At 37.7% G+C, this 19437-nt stretch overlaps 1 protein-coding gene across 33 annotated transcripts in view; it reads right to left on the reverse strand.

The window, feature by feature from the left end:
* Positions 1 to 19437, reverse strand: part of PEAK1 (pseudopodium enriched atypical kinase 1) — a 320261-nt gene that overhangs the window by 252378 nt on the left and 48446 nt on the right. For 24 of the 33 annotated variants that reach the window (XM_047433077.1, XM_047433057.1, XM_047433073.1 and 21 more), the window contains exon 2: positions 12132 to 12194. The exons of 4 other annotated variants lie outside the window; for them this stretch is intronic. The gene's annotated coding sequence lies outside the window, so the exon portion shown is untranslated. Of the gene's footprint in view, positions 1 to 4017; positions 4069 to 8283; positions 8401 to 12131; positions 12195 to 19437 lie in introns of all 33 variants that reach the window. 5 more of the 33 variants (XM_047433074.1, XM_047433070.1, XM_047433058.1 and 2 more) reach the window with 2 other exon arrangements.

The raw sequence follows: 19437 nt of genomic DNA on the forward strand, positions 1-19437 counted from the left end.
AGAAAACCATGAACCCTCTGAGGCCAATTTCCATCCAGCTGCAAGCATGGAAGCAGCAAACACATGCACTGCTTTTCAATATCAACCCCAAATAACCGTGAAAAAGAAACTCCTCGGCTATTCTGTGGCAAAGGCATTCCAAGTATCGATCGTGTATGCTAAACAAGACACTTGGAAAAAGTTAACTCCCTAAATCCAGGCTGGCATTTAACTTGCTTGTTACCAACAGACTGTGGTAGAAGTGACACTGAGTGACTTCCAAGGTTATGTCGAGAAAAGCCATGCAGGTTCTGGGACTAAGTTTGGGATGGCTGCTATACAGCAACGTTGCCAGACAGAATTTGGTATGTGAAACTGGGATGCTGACATAACAAAAACCTAAAAGATGCGACACTGGTTTCAAGACTGGGTGGTGGACCGAAGCTGGACCCTGGCTTGAAGAGCCTGGTAGAAACTATTGAAAAGGAATTAAAGGAGAGTTAAATGTTTTCAGAAAGACCTTGTTATGAAGTGGCAGAAAACTTAGCAAAACTGTTGCCTGCAGTAAGGTAAAAAAACAGAAAATGTTGGTAATGAACTACTACTTCTACCTAAGGTAATTTCAAAGCAGAATGTCCAAACTGTCAACTGGTTTCTTTTATATGTATAATATAAGGTAAAAAAAGAGATGACCTAAAGAAGAAAGTACTTTTCCAGCAGAATTTAGGGGAAATACAAAGAAGTCAGCAATTGCTGGGTCCAAAAATAAAACTATTTCTCATCCACAATGTCTCCCAGCAGAGAATGCTCAAAGTAAGAAAAGGTCTGAGGACAAAGATCAAACATAGGATGCAGAAAAGAAAAATCTCATCTCAAGGTAGAGACGAAAGCCAAAGGTGTTACTGTGAAATCCTTTGTTACATTTCTCTCCTGATTTCTTCTTCATGATCTTCTTCCCAGTTCCTTTTTCTGCACTTGTCCACTAAATCTAAATGTCCCTGAGGATTTTGTCCTCAATCCCGGGCAATTCCTTCTTCAATCACTCTCTAAAATCTATTAACCTCAAAAACTCTCTCTCCCTTTCAAGCCTCCACCTCCCTCTAAGAACAGCAGACAGATCTGTACATCTCCACTCAACTATCTCAGAGAAACATCAAACTAAATATTACAAAATCCTATCTTCCACTCCAAAAGTTCCTTCTATACCTGAATACACACTGGAAAGGAAACAAATAGTGCCACACCCATTAAATTGCCCAACTTGAGAGTCATCTCTGATTTCTACACTTCCTTCTCCTCACCCAACACCAATATTTAATTAGTCACCAATTTCTATGAATTCCACCTGCTAAAGCTTTCTGGCATCTGCCCCTCTTCAAGTTATCTCCTATCTGGACTATATATAGCCTTCTAAGTGGTCTCTCCATTCCAAAATATCTTTCATACTACTCTTGAAACCATCTTCTTAAAATAAAATATTAGCCATGTTAATCTCCTGGTGAGAATCCTTCAAGAGCTCCCAATCAAAACCCTTTGATACAGCTTACAGGTAGGTACTTTGTGATCTGGCCTTTCCCTGCAAACTGTCCCCACATATCATTTATTCCAACCATGCCAAAAAACAGGACTTATACTCATGGTGGTTATGAATACATAGTTTTCTCTCTGCCTAGAAAGTGTTGTCTCTTGTTATGAATACTAAGTACGTTTTTGTCCATTAATTTAACAGTTTTAGAACACTTAGTAGGGCCAGGCGCGGTGGTTCATGCCTGTAATCCCAGCACTTTGGGAGGCCGATGGTGGAGGATCACGAGGTCAGGAGATCAAGGCCATCCTGGCTAACACGGTGAAACCCTGTCTCTACTAAAAATACAAAAAATTAGCCGGGTGTGGTGGTGGGCACCTGTAGTCCCAGCTACTCGGGAGGCTGAGGCAGGAGAATGGCGTGAACCTGGGAGGCGGAGCTTGCAGTGAGCCAAGATAGCGCCACTGCACTCCAGCCTGGGCGACAGAGCGAGACTCCATCTCAATAAAAAAAAAAAAAACCACTTAACTCTGTGGCAAATCTGGCAGGCAAGTGAAAATAAATAAGAAACACTACCTGCCTCTTCTCTGGAAGCACACTACCTAGAAAGAAAGAAAATAAGTACAACACAGGGATTTATAACGGAAAGTAGCATGGTGTAGTGGATTGATTTCTTGCAGGAGGTGGAGAGATACGATTGACAGACAGTAAGCAAAACAATGGAATAAATACAATATGATCTCCTGGATCAGCAAGTTTCCTTGATATAAGTAATTTAAAACATTTTAATACTATTATACATACTTATTATAAGTAAAATACAAATTTACATGAAAGATGCAATAAAAGACTTAAAAATTCATGGGCCATTTTGGGCAAGAATGACTGTTCAGATTAGAATTTAAAGTAAACACTTAGCAGAAGAGGAGCGACTTTAAGTCAGAGAGACCCTTTTATAATTGCGCAAGTCACAACACATTTTGGCCCCGCCTACTCAAAAAGCCATCCCTAGTTCAGTTCAAGTTCAAATTCAGAGAAGCAATACTGAAAAATCAACAAGATTCTGTAGGACCCTTTGCTGCAGCCAGCTCACACCTCTATATGGCCCTCTATGAAGGGCTACAGACCTGGCATGGAAGAAGGCTTACTCATGACCAAGGAGTCTTGAACTCATCCATTTTGGGGGGTCCAGATTAAAGTTGCCTGTAATTACGTAAATCAGGTCTAAGAAGGCTGAGAAAAAGTTTACCTCGATTCCAATTCCTGTAGAATCGGAATTATAATAGAAAAACTGCTGACCCCCTCCCAGAATATCAGCCCTGGAAAAGTTACAGCCCTGGAAAAATGGAGAGAACTCAGAAAAACCCCTGGGTTGACTAGGACCCCTGTGTGTGGAATGGTGGCTTAGGCCTGAGACAAGAGGCAGTCCAGCAAAGCTGTGGGATAACAAACGAGAAAAAGAACTACTAAAGTTCTATTTTGCTTCTCTTGTATTCCAGTGCCCATGTGCACACGACCTGGCCCCAAACGTGCATTACTCAGTGATAAAAATTCAGAACAGTGGTTCCCTCTGGTGAGGGATAAGAATGTCAAGGAAGAAGTCTGAAGGAACTTAAGGGGTAATAAAATGTTTTGAATTTTTACAGCAGAGTAGCTACATGAGTATATGCATTCATCAAATCTCACTCAACTATATATTTAAGAGCTGAGTATTTTATCATAAAATTGAAATTTATACCTCAACTTTTAAAAGTTTTTCTTAAAAGATCACAATAGATACTACTTTAGATCATTCAACTGGCAAAATTTAAAAGTCTGAAAAAAAACAAGTATTAGAGAGGCTGTAAAACAACAGGATTTCTCATACATCAATGGTAGGAGAATAAAATTGCATAAGCCCTTTGGAAATACACTTCGTATTATAACTTTAAGTTTAACATTCATTACCCTATGACCCAGCAATTACATTCATAGGTGTATACTCAATAGAATATCTTGCATACGCATAAGAGATTGACAAGAGTCATGGATAGTAATGTTTCCTGCAGCAATATTAAAAATTGCAAACACCTGAAAATAAGATTCTTATTCTTAATCCCAGGAATAAATTGAGCATGATCACTTTCAAATATTTAAGTTGTCTTTACGTTTCAACAATAACCCAGTTTTTATACATATTATAGTTTGCTCAAGGTGTGCATATATAGAAATCCAAAATTAAGGCACAGAATTAAGGCATTATAATGATTTTGTATTTTTTAAAAGATGGAATTTATTTATTCAACATGACTTTTACAAGAGTAAAGATAGAATTCATCTAAATGCTGGTTACATAAATTATACTATAACCACACACAAAATATCCTGTGGCTATAAACACGAATGAAGTAGATCTACATATATGGAAAAATCTCCAAGATACAGAAGTAAGTTTAAGAAGCAAAAAGTAGGCTAGGTCCAGTGGCTCACGCCTATAATCCCAGCACTTTGGGAGGCTGAGGTGGAAGGATTACCTGAGCCCAGGAGTTCAAGATCAGCCTTGACAACGTAAGAGGACCCACTCTCTAAAAAAGAAAAAAACATACATCAGCAGCGCATGGTGGCACATGCCTGTAGTCCCAGTTACTTGGGAGGTGAAGTGGGAGGATCATGTGAGACGAGGAGTACGAAGCTGCAGTGAGCTGTGATCATGCCATTGCTCTTCAGCCTGAGTGACAGAGTAAGACACTGTTTTTGTTTTGTTTTCTTTTTTTAAATGAGACAGTCTTACTCTGTTACCCAGTCTGGAATGCAGTGGTGCAATCTTGGCTCACTGCAACCTCCGCCTCCGGGGTGCAAGCGACTCTCGTGCCTCAGCCTCCCAAGTAGCTGAGACTACAGGCATGTGCCATTACAACTGGCTAATTTTTGTATTTTTAATAGAGATGGGGTTTCACCATGTTGGCCAAAGCTGGTCTCAAAAGCCTGACATCAAGTGATCTGCCCACCTCAGCCTCCCAAAGTGCTGGAATTACAGGCATGAGCCAAGACCCTGTCTTAAAAAAAGTAAGAAGCAAAAAGTAGAACAGTAAATTCTCACAGATCAAAATAAACTCCATATATATTGATGCATATGTATGTTTGCAAAAATAATTTAAAAGTAAATAAAGTGCTAATGTTAGTTTCTTTTGAAAATAGAGACAGAGGATCTAAGGTGAAAGATTTAATTTTGTACATTTGCACTATCTATGAATCATTTTATACTATCTAAATTTCTGACCACATACCTTTTCTATTTTTTTAATTACAGAGAAGAGACAGAGGCCCTCGAAAACTTTTTCTATTTCTAATAAGCAAACTCTTCCATGACCCACAGTAGTTATTCCAAACCTTTACCACTCCCCTCAAATCCCGTATCTCAGTCCTGTTGCCTTTTCCCACATAGCCAAGCCAAGGACCTTGTCCTCTGCTTCAGAGGAAATGAAAACTCCCTATATTTCCTAATTCACATCCACAAATTTGTCACTAGTTGCATCCATGAGCACTTCCTTCCCTCAGAAGAAAGAAGCCATTCCCGGCAAATCTTATGTTCTATCATGTGTTCTACATGCAATCTGCCATTTCTGCAAGGAGCCTGTTCTATTATTCTCCTCTCTCTCTCTACTTCCACAATTTTGCTCTTACCTGTTTCCTTTTTCCCCTACCTCTGTATATATGCATGTTCAAGCCTCTCCTATATTAAAAAGTACCCTATGTTCCCCTCTATCAAGCACCCTAAACTCATTCCTTCTGTTCACAGTTAAACTTCTCATGAGAGTAGTCTATACTCTTTGATAGTCTCTTCTTCATCTCCCATTCACTGCTAAACACACTAGAATCTGTCCTCTGTCTCCACTGCTACTAAAAACAAAAAACCAATCTTACTAAGGTCACTAAAAGACCAAACCAAAAGTCATGCTGTAAACTTTATTTTATTTGAACTTTCTCTGTAGCATCTGACACTAATGAACACTGCCACCCTTTTCGAAACACTCTAATCTCTTTGCTTCTGTGATATTTCTCTCTCCCGGCTCTCCACTGAGCATTGGGGGATTTAAAAATGAAAATGACAAAGTCCCTGACTTCAAGAAGCATAGTTTCTAAAATGAGAGAAACATACACAAACAATCACAACATAGTGAAAAAGTACAAAGTGCAGTGATAGCTTAGCAATCAACTTTATATGGGGAAGCGAGAGAGCACTTTAGGAGGAGGAAACTAGCATGTACAAAGTAACATATAAATCAGTATGGTTTGTACAGAAATTTTAATGGATAATGACTGAACACACAAGTTGTGAAATAAACAATCTGACTGTATCTATTCTATCTGAGGATAAAATAACAGTCTTTACCTCACAGGACTACTGTGAAGATTACATGAAATGCTAAATATAAACCACTTAGCATAGGGTCTGGCATATACAGAAAGATCTCAATAAGCGTTATCTCATATACTTTCTGACAAAAACATTCAACAAACTATGACTAAAAGAGAACTTCCTAAACCTGATAATGGGCAGTTATGAAATACCCATAGTTAACATCTTACTTGATCCTGAAAGACTGAATGTTTTCACCCTAAGATCAGAAACGAGACAAGGGCTGAGCACAGTGGCTCACATGTATAATCCCAGCACTTTGGGAGGCTAAGGCGGGAGGATCACTTGAGCCCAGGAGTTTGTGACCAGCCTGAGCAACATGGCGAAACCCCATCTCTTCAAAAAATATATAAAAATAAGCTGGGTATGGTGGCGCCTGCCTGTAGTCCCAGCTACTTGAGGGGCAGAGGCAGGAGGATCACCTGAACCCAGGAAGTCAAGGCTGCAGTGAGCCATGTTCACACCACTACACTCCAGCCTGGGCAACAGAGTAAGACCTTGTCTCAAAAAAAAAAAAAACGGTTTCAGCCAGAGCAGTTAAGAGACATGAAAGGGATCTAGATCAGAAAAGAGGTAAAACTATCACTATGACACGATGACATGATCTTACATATTAAAAAGCCCTAAGTAATCTATAAACAACTATTACAATTAACAAATAAGTTCAGCAAGGTTGTGTGATACAAAAATCATTATATTTCTATATACTAGCAATGAATAATCCAAAAATGAAATTAGAAAAAAAATTTCACTTAGAATACTATTAACAAAATAAAGTACTTAGGAATAAATTTAACAAAAGAATTATAAGACATACACTGAAAACTATAAAACACTGAAAGAAATTAAAGACCTAAATAAATGGAAAAACATTCAGTGTTTACAGATTGGATGACTGACTGTAAAGTCCCCAAACTGATTTAAAGATTCCTGCCTCAGATTCAACACAATCAAAATCTAGCTGGATTTTTTTGTAAAAATTGACAAGCTAATCCAAAAATTCATATGGTAATATAAGCAATCCAGAAGAGCCAAAACAATCTTGAATAAAGTTGGAAGAACTTACACTGCCCAATTTCAAAACTTTATTATACAACTACAGCAATCAGGACAATGTGGTACTGACATAAGGATAGACAAATCAATGGAACAGAATTGAAAGTCCAGAAATAAACCCCTACATTTATAGGCAATTTGTTTTCTTTAAGGGTGCCAAGATAATCCGATAGTCAGAGACAACTGGATATCTACATACAAATGAATGAAGTTGAACCCCTACATTACACCATTTATAAAAATTAAGTGAGAATGCATCACAGACATAAAAATAAGAGGTGAAACAATAAAACTCCTAGAAGAAAACATGAGTATTCCCCAGGACCTTGAATTAGACAATTGTTTCTTAGATACAACACCAAAAGCAACCAAAAAAATAAATAAGTAAATAAATACTTTTGTGCTTCAAAGGACAATATCAAGAAGTGAAAAGACCCACAGAATAGGAGAAAATATTTGTAAATCATTTCTCATAAGAGATTTGTATCCAGCCAATATATATACACATATAAGTTGATCCTTGGACAACATAGGTTTGAACTGTGTAGGTCCACTTATATGCATTTTTTTCAACCAAACATGGATAAAAAAAGACAGCATTCATGGGATGTGACACTCACCTATACAGAGGACTGACTCTTCTTTATAGGTGGGTTAGTAGGACCAAATGCAGGACTTGACTATGTGTGAATTTTGGTATACACAAGGGTCCTGAAACCAATTCCCTGAATATACCAAGGCACAACTGTATTTCTATTTAATGTAAATATACATTTATATTATATGTAATATAAATAAACATATATATACAAATAACCTAATTTTAAAATGGCAAAGGATGAAAATAAAAATGTCTTTAAAGCCCCTACCTCTCACCCTATACAAAAATCAACTCACAAAGGGATCAAAGACCTGAAACAATAAAACCACTAGAAGAAGACATAGGGGAAAATGCTCCAGGACACTGGTCTGGGAAAAGATTTTATGATAAGACCTGAAAAGCGCAGGCAACTAAAGCAAAAGAAACAAACGGGATTACATCAAATTAACTTCTGTACAGCCAATGACACAATCAACAGAGTGAAAAGATAGCCTGTAGAATGGGAGAAAATATTTGCAAACTACTCACCCCACAGGAGATTAATATCCAGAATATACAAGGACAAACATATTCAAAAGCAAACAAACAAAAAAAATCTGATTTAAAAATTGGCAAATGATATAAATGAACATTTTTCAAAAGAAGACATATACCAGCCTGGGCAACATAACTAGACTCCATCTCCGCAAAAAATTTAAAAAAATTAGCCATCGTGGTACATACCTGTAGTCCTGTCTACTTAGGAGGCTGAGGCAGGAGGATTGCTTGAGCCCAGGAGTTTGAGGCTGCAGTGAACTATAATCATGCCACTGCACTACAGCGTAGGTACAGAGCCAGACCCTGTCTCAGAAAAACCAAAAACAATCAAAAAAAGAATGAAAAAATGCTCAACATTGTTAATCAAGGAGATGCAAATAAAAACCACATTGAGGTATCATCTCACCCCAATTAGGATGGCAGCTGTTATCAAAAGACAAAAAATAACAAATACTGGTGAAAATGCAGAGAAAAAGGAACTCTTATATACTGCTGATGGTAATGTAAACTAGTACAACCACTATGGAGAACAGCAAGGAGGTTCCTCAAAAAACTACAAATAGAATATCATATGATCCAGCAATTTCACTACAGTGAATCTATCCAAAGACAAGACTATCATTATATCAAAGAGACATTTGCACCTCCGTGTTTACTGTAGCACTACTGACAATAGCCAAGATATGAAATCAACCTAGATGGCCAACAAAGGATGAATGGATGAAGAAAATCTGGAATATATATATACCAGAGAATGCTATCTAGTCATGAAGAAAAAAAAAAAGAAATCCTGTCATTTGCAGCAACATGGATGAGACTGGGACGTTATGCTAAGTAAAATAAGCCAGAAACAAAAAGTTAAATAAACACTGCATGTTCTCACTCATTGGTAGTAGGGAGGGAGGGACAGGGAGAGATTTGTTAAAGAATAAAAAATTACCAATAGATATGAGGAATACATTCTAGTGTTCTATACCACAGTAAGATGACCATAGTTAACAGTAATATGTAGTTTCAAATAGCTAGGAAGAAAATCTAAAGTTAACAGTAATACATAGTTTCAAATAACTAGGAAGAGGATATTGAACATTCCCAACACAAAGAAATGATAAATGTCTGAGATGATGGATATGTTAATAACCCTATCTGATCACTAACATATATGTACTAAAACATCACTATGTACCTATGAATATGTACAATTATTATTGTCAATTAAAAACTAAAAAAAAAAGAAAAAGAAAATGTTCAAATGGCCAATAAGCATATTTAAAAAGTTCATAATAAGTCACTAGGGAAATACAAATCAAAACCACCATATACCACTTCACATCCACTGAGTGGCTATATTAAACAAAACAAAACAAACCCAGACAATGTTAAGTATTGGCAAGGATATGGAGAAATCAAAACCCTCATTCATTGCTAGTAGGAATGTAAAAAGGTACCGTCTTTTTAGAAAACAGTTTGGCAGTTCCACAAAATGTTAAACACGGAGTTATTAAATGACCTAGCCATTCTACTGTTAGGTATATATCCAAGAGACATGAAACCCTATGTCCACACAAAAACTTATACACAAATAAGTGTTCACAGCAGAATTTTCATAATAGCCAAAAAAGTGGAAACAACCCAAATGTCCAACAACTGATAAATGGATAAATGAAATATGGCATATAGATATTGTGGATGAAAAAAAAGAAAAAAAAGTGTGACTTTTTATTTTATTTATTTATTTATTTTTTTAGACGGAGTCTTACTCTGTAACCCAGGCTGGAGTGCAATAGTGTGATCTTGGCTCACTGCAACCTCCGCCTCCTGGGTTCAAGCGATTCTCCTGCCTCAGCCTCCCAAGTAGCTGGGATTACAGATGCTCACCACCACACCCAGCTAAATTTTGTAGTTTTAGTGAAGACAGGGTTTCACCATGTTGGCCGGGCTGGTCTCGAACTCCTTACCTCAGGTGATCCACCTGCCTCAGCCTCCCAAAGTGCTGGGATTACAGGCATGAACCACCATGCCAGACCACTTTTTTTAGCTTGATCATAAACAATTACAGTCTTTACCTGGCAGGCTTCACAGGAGAAAACTGCCCTCCCCACACCAGATTTGGTGCATACCTGGTGCACTGACATCTCTAAAGCAAGCTGCAGTCAAGACTCAGGTATTCCTAAATGGCCATGCTCTTTACCGTATCTACATTAGTAGCCCAGGTACCTTCATTCAGAAGTCTCTGTGGCCTTTAACTGAGGCCTTTCCTTAGGCAACTATGGAGAGGCCTCCTCAACAGAGGGAAAACACTAAAAACACTTTCCTCCACTCTGACTCAGTACCTTCCTCCACTCCTAGCCTTTGCACCTTTTCCTCCAACCCACCCCAGATCTATAAAACAGCAGGAACCTTTTGCTGGGGGCTCCCTCAGCATTGAGAAAATCCCCACCTCTGTGTTGATCCACTTGACAGGAGGGAGCCTGCACTTTCTCAGCTTTAACTTCTTGCTTATCCTAATTCGGTAAGTGATTAAAGTAACTCAGCTCTGTGTCCCCAGCTAAGCTCCTGACACTATGGAATATTATTCAGTCATAAAAAGGAATCAAGGTTCATCCATGCTTCAACATGGATGAAGCTTAAAAACTTTATGTTAAATGAAAGAAATTAGTCACAGAAGACAACATATTGTGCAACTCTATTTACATAAAATGTCCACAATAGGCAGAAAATAAATTAATAGCTGAGGGGAGGGAGGAATGAGTAGAGACTACTAATGAGTACTTTTAAGAGTGATGAAAGGCCAGGCAGGTGGCTCACACCTGTAATCCCAGCACTTTGGGAGGCCGAGGTGGGAGGATCACTTGAGGTTAGGAGGTCAAGACCAGCCTGGACAACATGGTGAAACCCTGTCTCTATTAAAAATACAAAAATTAGCCAGGCATGGTGGCACACACCTGTAATCCCAGCTACTGGGGAGGCTGAGGTAGGAGAACTGCTTGAACTCGGGAGGCAGAGGTTGCGGTGAACCAAGATGTTGCCACCGCACTCCAGCTTGGGCGAAAGAGACTCCATCTCAAAGAAAAAAATGAGTGATGAAAATATTCCAAAATTAGACTGTGGTGATGGTTGCACATCTCTGTAAATATAATAAAAACTATTGAATTTTACACTTTAAATGGGTGGAATTTATGGCATGGAAATTATTTCTCAGTAAAGATATAATATGAATACATGATGTTAGTGTTCATATCATATCTAGACCACTATTGCTCTGTAAATGAGTTTGTAAAATAATCCTTAAGGAATGTAGATACTGAAGGACTCAGAGTAGTAGACGGACAGGCTGACATTTTTTTAAAGAAAAAAATAATCTGTTGACAATGATAAAAATGGCTGACAGAGCAGTCAGACTCAAGGTGGAGAGACTTACAACGATGTATTTGGAAAAATTTTAACAAGAAGAGGACTTGAGCCAAGACAGGTAAGAAACGGGAAAAGGCTATGATCCTACCTTTAGAGTGGAATGCTATCTATAGAAGCTTTCTGTAAAAGGGAAGCTTTCTATAGAAGGCAACTATTAACCTATATCCTTATTACAGAGGCTCCCAAACAGGGAACTACAGAAAGTCATCAAGTCCAAGAGAGTAGAGTGGTAGAAAGCTCTTAATAATGGCCCATTAAAATAGCAGTTGTTTTAATCTATGATTTAACTAATGGAAGACTTGTCTTCAAAAATATTAGATTATAATGCCAATATATTCTCAAGTATATCAGAGAACAGTAGTATGAATTTCGTCTTTGAGTATTAAAGATATAGAAAAAATTCACTCAAAAGTATTTTATCACTAGAACAAGTTTCATTTATTTCAAATGTCTTATAAACATGCTTAAAAGTAAGCATACTCTATATGTAGTTTTATAACTTTCCTATTAAAACACTCAGAGGAAAAGATATTTGATATTGCCTTAAATTTTTTCAAAAACAATTCTTTCTCATTATAAAATATATATTAAAAGGCAAATGAATTCATAAATTATCTCACCTTTGGTTTTTAGATAAACCACAAAGAAATGTCTACAGCATAAGTTCCAGTTTGGGCAGATACCTGAATTGTAAAAAACAAACAGAAAAAGACATGGTCAATATGGTTGAATCTGAGTATGGAAATTTAATTATTTCAATAGAACCCTAACTTGATCATTTACCTCCTAAATTTTTACGTCCAAGCTGTTCTTTAGATATCTATAGAATGTCAAGAATTAAGAAATTCTCCTGGACTTTCTATTGCCTTTGATTAATGTTGGTATTTCTTGAAATTAAAAGTATATCAAAACAGGCCGGGCACGGCGGCTCACGCCTGTAATCCCAGCACTTTGGGAGGCTGAGGTGGGCGGGTCACCTGAGGTCAGGTGTTTGAGAGCAACCTGGCCAATGTGGCGAAACCGTGTCTCTACTAAAAATACAAAAAAATTAGCTGGACATGGTGGTGTGTGCCTGTAGTCCCACCTACTCGGGAGGCTGAGGCAGGAGAAACGCTTGAACCCGGGAGGCGGAGGTTGCAGTGAGCCAAGGTCATGCCACTGCACTGCAGCATGGGCGATAGAGCAAGACTCCATCTCATAAAAAAAAAAAAAAAAAAAAAAGATACCAAAACATGTACTACATAAACAGGAGAAAAAAATCAATCTCCTTCATCAACTCAATTCTTCAAAAGAAAGTATTTTCTACAGTTTACACTCCCTATATTATGATTGCCCATCCTCATAGAAAATACAGAATTTAAAAATCTGGAAATGTAAAAGTAAATCAATAGCACATGTTTATAAAACCTAAGCAAATAAGTAAATTAAATAAAACCAATGTCTACTAAGTATGAAAAATGGAAAAAATGTTCTCTACATTAGCAAAGAAAATGAAATTAAAATGAGATATCATCTTTGATCAATGAAATTATAATTGTTTTAAAAATAAGATTATAGTCATTGGCACCCTTCCAGTTCTTCTCCTTACCAGACTCATGGTAAGATTGCACCTCACTGCCCTCTTTCAACTTAGGTGTAGAAACATGACTTGCTTTAGCCACTGAAATGTACACAGACGTGATGTTACACATTTCTAAGTATAAGCTTTAAGACCAACTACACAACTTACAGACCTCCCAGCTACTGCAGTCATTATGGAGTTCACTAAATGTCTCTGAAGAGAAAAAAACAACCCTGCTGACATGTATTAGACATGTAACATGAGCAAGAAATAAACTTTGTTGTATTATGCAACTGAGATTTTTAGGACTGTTTGTTACTACAGCACAATCTAGGCTATACTGACAGCTACAAGTGATAACGTAATATAATAATATATAATATTATAATAATGTAATATAACAGGCATTTTTGTACACTGTTCATAGGAATTTAAATTGGTAAATTTGTTTTTGTTTTTCGGGTTTTTCTGAGACAGGATCTCACTCTGTCACCTAGGCTGGAGTACAGTGGCGTGATCACAGCTCACTGCAGCCTAGACCTCCCAGGCTCGAGTGATCCTTCTACCTCAGCATCCTGAGTAGCTGGGACTACACAGGTGCCCACCACCAAGCCCTGCTAATTTTTGTATTTTTTGTAGAGATGGGGTTTTGCCATGTTGTCCACGAAGACTGGTCTTGAACTACTGGGCTCAAGCAATCCACATGCCTCAGCCTCCCAAAGTGCTGGGATTACAGGCATGATCCATACGCCCAGCAATTGGTAAAATCTTTCTGGAATCCCAGCACTTTGGGAGGCCGAGGCAGGTGGATCATGAGGTCAGGAGATGGAGACCATCCTGGCCAACATGGTGAAACCCCGTCTCTACTAAAATACAAAAAATTAGCTGGGTGTGGTGGTGTGCACCTGTAATCCCATCTACTCAGGAGGCTGAGGCAGGGAAATCGCTTCAACCCGGGAGGCAGAGATTGCAGTGAGCCGAGATCATGCCACTGTACTCCAGCCTGGCGACCGGGCGAGACTCCATCTCAAAAAAGAGCTAGAAGCAAACTAAAAGTACAAATGATTTGCTAAATAAGCTAGAATATTAAGCAATCATTAAAACTGCTTATCAAAGATGCTTAATGACTAACAGAAGAAACTGTGTAAAGGGCATACATAGGAACTCTCTGTACTGTCTACTCAATTTTTTCATGTATACGATTCAAGAACAGGTAAAACTAACTAATCTCCACTGACAGAAAGTAGGTAAGTTATTGCAGGAACCAAAGGTTGTATGAAAGAATTGACTGCAAAGGGGCTTAAGAGAAGCTTTTAAGAGTGATTAAAATGTTCTATATCTTGATTATGGCGGTTGTCAACAGGATATACACATTAGTCAAAACCCCTCAAACTGTACTGCACATAAATAATTTTACTAAAGTGGATTTTAAAAGTAAAATAAAAATGCTTAATGATAGGAAAATGCTCATCTGTTGGGTAATTTGAAATGTGTAATACATAAATTTGCATAGAAGAGGCTACAAATACATACAATGTTAATAGTGCTTTGCTTTGCATAAATATTACATAGGTAGTTTTCATTTTTCCTTAAGTTATGTACTTTCAAAATGCTCTAAGTAAGTACGTATTTTTATGTTTATTTGGTGGTATTTTATTGAGAACCAGAGCTTAAGCCTAGAATAAGCTTGAGGTTTTAATAATTTATTCATTCAGTATTCATTACATGCCTCCATGTACAAACAGCATTCTAAGTGGTAGAGGGATACCTCCAAGCTTGGGTATGTTTCTCCAAGGTTCAGCTAGATGGGGCTTTCAAGTGATCACCATTGCCAGTGAATGTGGAAGCATCAACTATCATCTGTAAACCACATCTGTTTATAATCTTTACGCTGGCAAATGACAGGTAAGTTGTGACTATAAAAACTGTTTGGATTCATGATTATCTGTTTACCTAATCTTCCTGAAAATAAGCTTAAATTTTCTACAGTGTTTAATATGTAATATATAACATATATTTAGAATGTATTATAATGTGTGAATGTGTTTATAAGAATATGTATTGATAACTAATCATTTAAAAATGTTATGAGTTTTGAGCATTTATTTACTTAAAAAATTAAAAGTTTTGGGCCAGGCATGGTGGCTCATGCCTGTAATCCCAGCAATTTACGAGGCCAAGGCGGGCGGATCACCTGAGGTCAGGAGTTCCAGACCAGCCTGGCCAACATTATGAAACCCCGTCTCTACAAAAATACAAAAACAATTAGCAGGGCGTGATGGCAGGTGCCTGTAATCCTAGCTACTAGGGAGGCTGAGGCGGGGGAATTGCTTGAACCCAGGAGGCGGAGGTTATAGTGAGCTGAGATCACGCCACTGTACTCCAGCCTGGGCGACAGAGCAAGATGCCATCTCAAAAAAAAAAAAGAGTTAAAAGTTTTACCACTATAAAAACTGCTTGAGGGTTTAAAACTCTAAGAAATTGTAGAAAAATATAAATGAAACATAGAAAGCAATAAGTAAGACAATGGAGACAAAGCATTAAGCAAAGAGCAAGAAGTGTTTGATTAATCAAATAGAAACACTGGATACATATCATTAACAAATTGTAATCAACAAGTAAAAATATAGTGAGAAAATACTTGTTTCATGTTCAGCAGTGAGTGTAGCAATTCAAGATACTGGGGACAAGGGATTACGACTATATGCAGGGGACTATATGCACTAACTTCTCATGACAGAAAAATCTGAGATAACTACTCCATTATAGGGAATACACATGAAGCAAAAGAGAAAGAACATATATAGAAGAATCTAATCCAGAACTGATTTTAAACCAGTGATCACTGAAATTAAATCACTATGTTTAATTATAACTATACAATATGTTGCCTTCTCAAGTTTGACATTTGCACTTACATGTTGTATTCAAAAAGTATAAAACTTCATAATTTACAATAAAATACAAATAAAATGCACTATTTATACTGATAACCATTAAGAAGCACTAAAATAATGTGTGCTAATCAGGTTACAGCTAGTAAAGATGAGTAAAATAGTCTCAGACATTAAGGATACAACACAGAAAATATTTGTATGTGAATCACGGTACAGATAGTAAAGATGGATAGACTCAGACACCAGGAAGTTTTCATAGCACTTAGAAAGACAGCACAAACCCAAAACACAAAATTGCCAACACTACAGGAATGCAAATGGAGAGTTCTTGTTAAGTATTAGCTTCTCGACCCTTAGAAAATACAACCTATGAGTCGTCACTGAAAATACAGACAGATGGGAAAACACCATCACCAAGTTGGTCTTGGTTTTCTAAATTCTAGAAACCATATGTGCAGGAACAAGTACCCTAATCAACTAAATCAGTGATCAAACTATAGCCTAAGAGCCAAATCCAGCCCAGGGCCTGTTTTTGTCTGATTTATGAGCTAAGAATGGTTTTTACGTATTTAAAGGGCCATAAACAAACAAGAATATGCAACAGAGGTAGTATATTGCCACAAAGTTTAAAAGTTTAAAGGGGATCTTTACAGAGGTCTGCTGACTTCTGAACTAAATAATTCATAAATGGATGAAACAGGTCTTAGTGGTGGCTCTGATCCAAAGATTTGAACTGTGCCATGGCATCATAGTATATTAGAACTGGAAGGAGGCATGAAGACCATCTTTCCTTCCCATGATATTGCAAAGGCGCTGACTATGGCTCATAGGTTTCCATCTTCTGGATCTACTGTATCCTGGGTCAAAAGTGCTTTACATCTCACCACAACACTGGCTCCCTTTTCCTTTAGTGAAGTAATCTGGGAATTAAAAAAAGAGGTACAACACAGTAAGTACACTCTCCTCCAACTCTCCACTGAGCCTTTCCTACACACAACTAATCAACTAAAAGTGAAGTGCTGATGACCTTCATATTTTACTAATTCAGCATCAAAGATCATTTCCTATTCTCCCCACTTCATCTCCCCACTTCATCTCCCTCTACTCTACTAAGATATTCTCTAAACCAAGCAAATTAAGCTACTAGCATTCCTGAAAAAGCATCTGTTTTGTCCTATGGACCTTGGTCTATGTGGTTTCTCTCCTATGGACATGACTTCCTTTCTCCACCTATCCAAATTCCTTCCATCCTTCATGGCCCAATTTGACATCCATGATACCTTTGGAAAGCTTATAATCCAATAGGAAACAGAGCTCAGGTACACACAAAAAAGTTTTAAAAATCTTGAAAGTTGTAATAAATAAAATGTTATAAAATTCCAAGAAGCAAAATGTCACCTCAGGGGAAAATGTTTAGGTACCACCTTGGGAAAGTCTTTGAGTAAGATATGAGAAAGAGCAGAGAAGAAAAAGGGACGTTCCAGGCAGTGGAAATGAGCAAAGGTATAAAAGGGATAATTTCTTATAGTAGTGATTCTCATCTTTTTGTTTCCCTAGATTTGCCTCTAACCAAGTGATGACACAGAGAATGCCCTCAATTTCTAAAGTCCCTTGCCTACCCATAATTTTGAATGTTACCAAAACCCACAGATTTAATGTGCTGATCAGTTAATCAAAATTCAATGGAGACAGTCTATTTCTGCATATGTCTTCAGATAACTTTTGTGAACATAAAAATCCAACACATCGAGCCAGGCACGGTGACTCATGCCTGTAATCTCAACACTTTGGGAGGCTGAAGCAGGCGGATAATGAGGTCAGGAGTTCGAGACCATCCTGGCCAAAATGGTGAAATCCCAACTCTACTAAAATACAAAAAATTAATCACGTGTGGTGGCCCACGCCTGTAGTCCCAGCTACTCAGGAGGCTGAGGTAGGAGAATCGCTTGAACCCAGGAGGCGGAGGTTGCAGTGAGCTGAGATTGCGCCACTGCACTCCAGCCTGGCAACAGAGCAAGACTCCGTCTCAAAAAAAAAAAAAAAAAGAAAGAAAGAAAGAAAAATCCAACACATCTACAAAATCAAATATAAATTCTGTGACTTTAAGGCTGAATTATGTTATTTTCATATCATTAATCAAACCAAAAGGGCTGAAAGTAAAAACTTCATTATTTTGGTTACCTTTTTACTAAGTAATTTTATTCTATGGATAGCAACCTTTCACATTCTGGTTCACTCCAAACCTAGGGCCTAGTAGATGCTACCTAAATACCTGTTGAATTAATAATATTGGAACATAATATATATTTCACTGAAAATATTCCTTCCTTTAATTATGCAGTATAATAGAAAGTAGAGAGAAGATAAGGAACATTAATTGAAAGTGTTGTAAAAGTGAAGCCATCAAAAAACTTAAAACAATTATTTCAAAACCATCTTTGAAGCAAATAATCTATTCACATGTAACTCAGATCTTTATTGTAGCCTTTGTTGTAACACTACACACATACCACCACCACCACCACCACCACCACCACCATCATCATCATGACATTTTTTTCTAAATACAGCTTGAGGAAGGAAACCATATAATTTGATTAACAGAAGCTGGGCGCAGTGGCTCACGCCTGCAATCCTAGCACTTTGGGAGGCCAAGGCGGGAGGATCACTCGAGGTCCAGAGTTCAAGACCAGTCTGGCCAACATGGTGAAATGCCGTCTCTACTAAAAATACAAAAATTAGCTAGGTGCAGTGGCACACACCTGTAATTGCAGCTACTCGGGAGGCTGAGACAGGAGAATTGCTTGAAGGAGGTGGAGGTTGCAGTGACCTGAGATCGCGCCACTGCGCTCCAACCCGGGAGACAGAGGAAGACTCTGTCCCAAAAAAATAAATAAAACTAAAAACAAAACAGAAAACAGTCACTTATTCATCTTTGTATTTCACGTAATTCCTAGCACATAATGGGTACTTTAAAATCACTCATTGAGTTGAACAGTCATAGAGAAAATGTTTTCTCTGCTCTCCATGACTTCACTATATTTCAAAGGTATAAGGCAACAACTCTGGCAATAAAAGCAGAACTTAGAAAGCCTGACTTATTTCAAGAGTTCTCTGATACGAGAAGAGATATCCAATAGATGTGTTCCCTAATTACACAAGTATAAGAAGATGCATTGCTCCACTGTTGTCGATTTGCTATATTTAGTAGGCTCTGAATTGAATTATTCAAGCATGTACAAATATAACCTTAAAGGGGTCCACATACTTGCTCCTGACAATCTGGATACAAAAGCTGCCATTCAGATAAAAGATGACAGGCAACAAGAATCTGACAGGCCAGCAATTTACTGCATTTTCTGCACATTTGAATTTGTAGCCCTCCATAGCCATTAAGCAAAATTAGTTTCATGATGTCAGCCAAAAAGCCTCATGGGCAGCAGTTTTATGTCATTAAAAAAACTACCA

The sequence above is a fragment of the Homo sapiens genome, chromosome 15, assembly GCF_000001405.40.
Source record: "Homo sapiens chromosome 15, GRCh38.p14 Primary Assembly".
Lineage (NCBI taxonomy): Eukaryota > Metazoa > Chordata > Mammalia > Primates > Hominidae > Homo > Homo sapiens.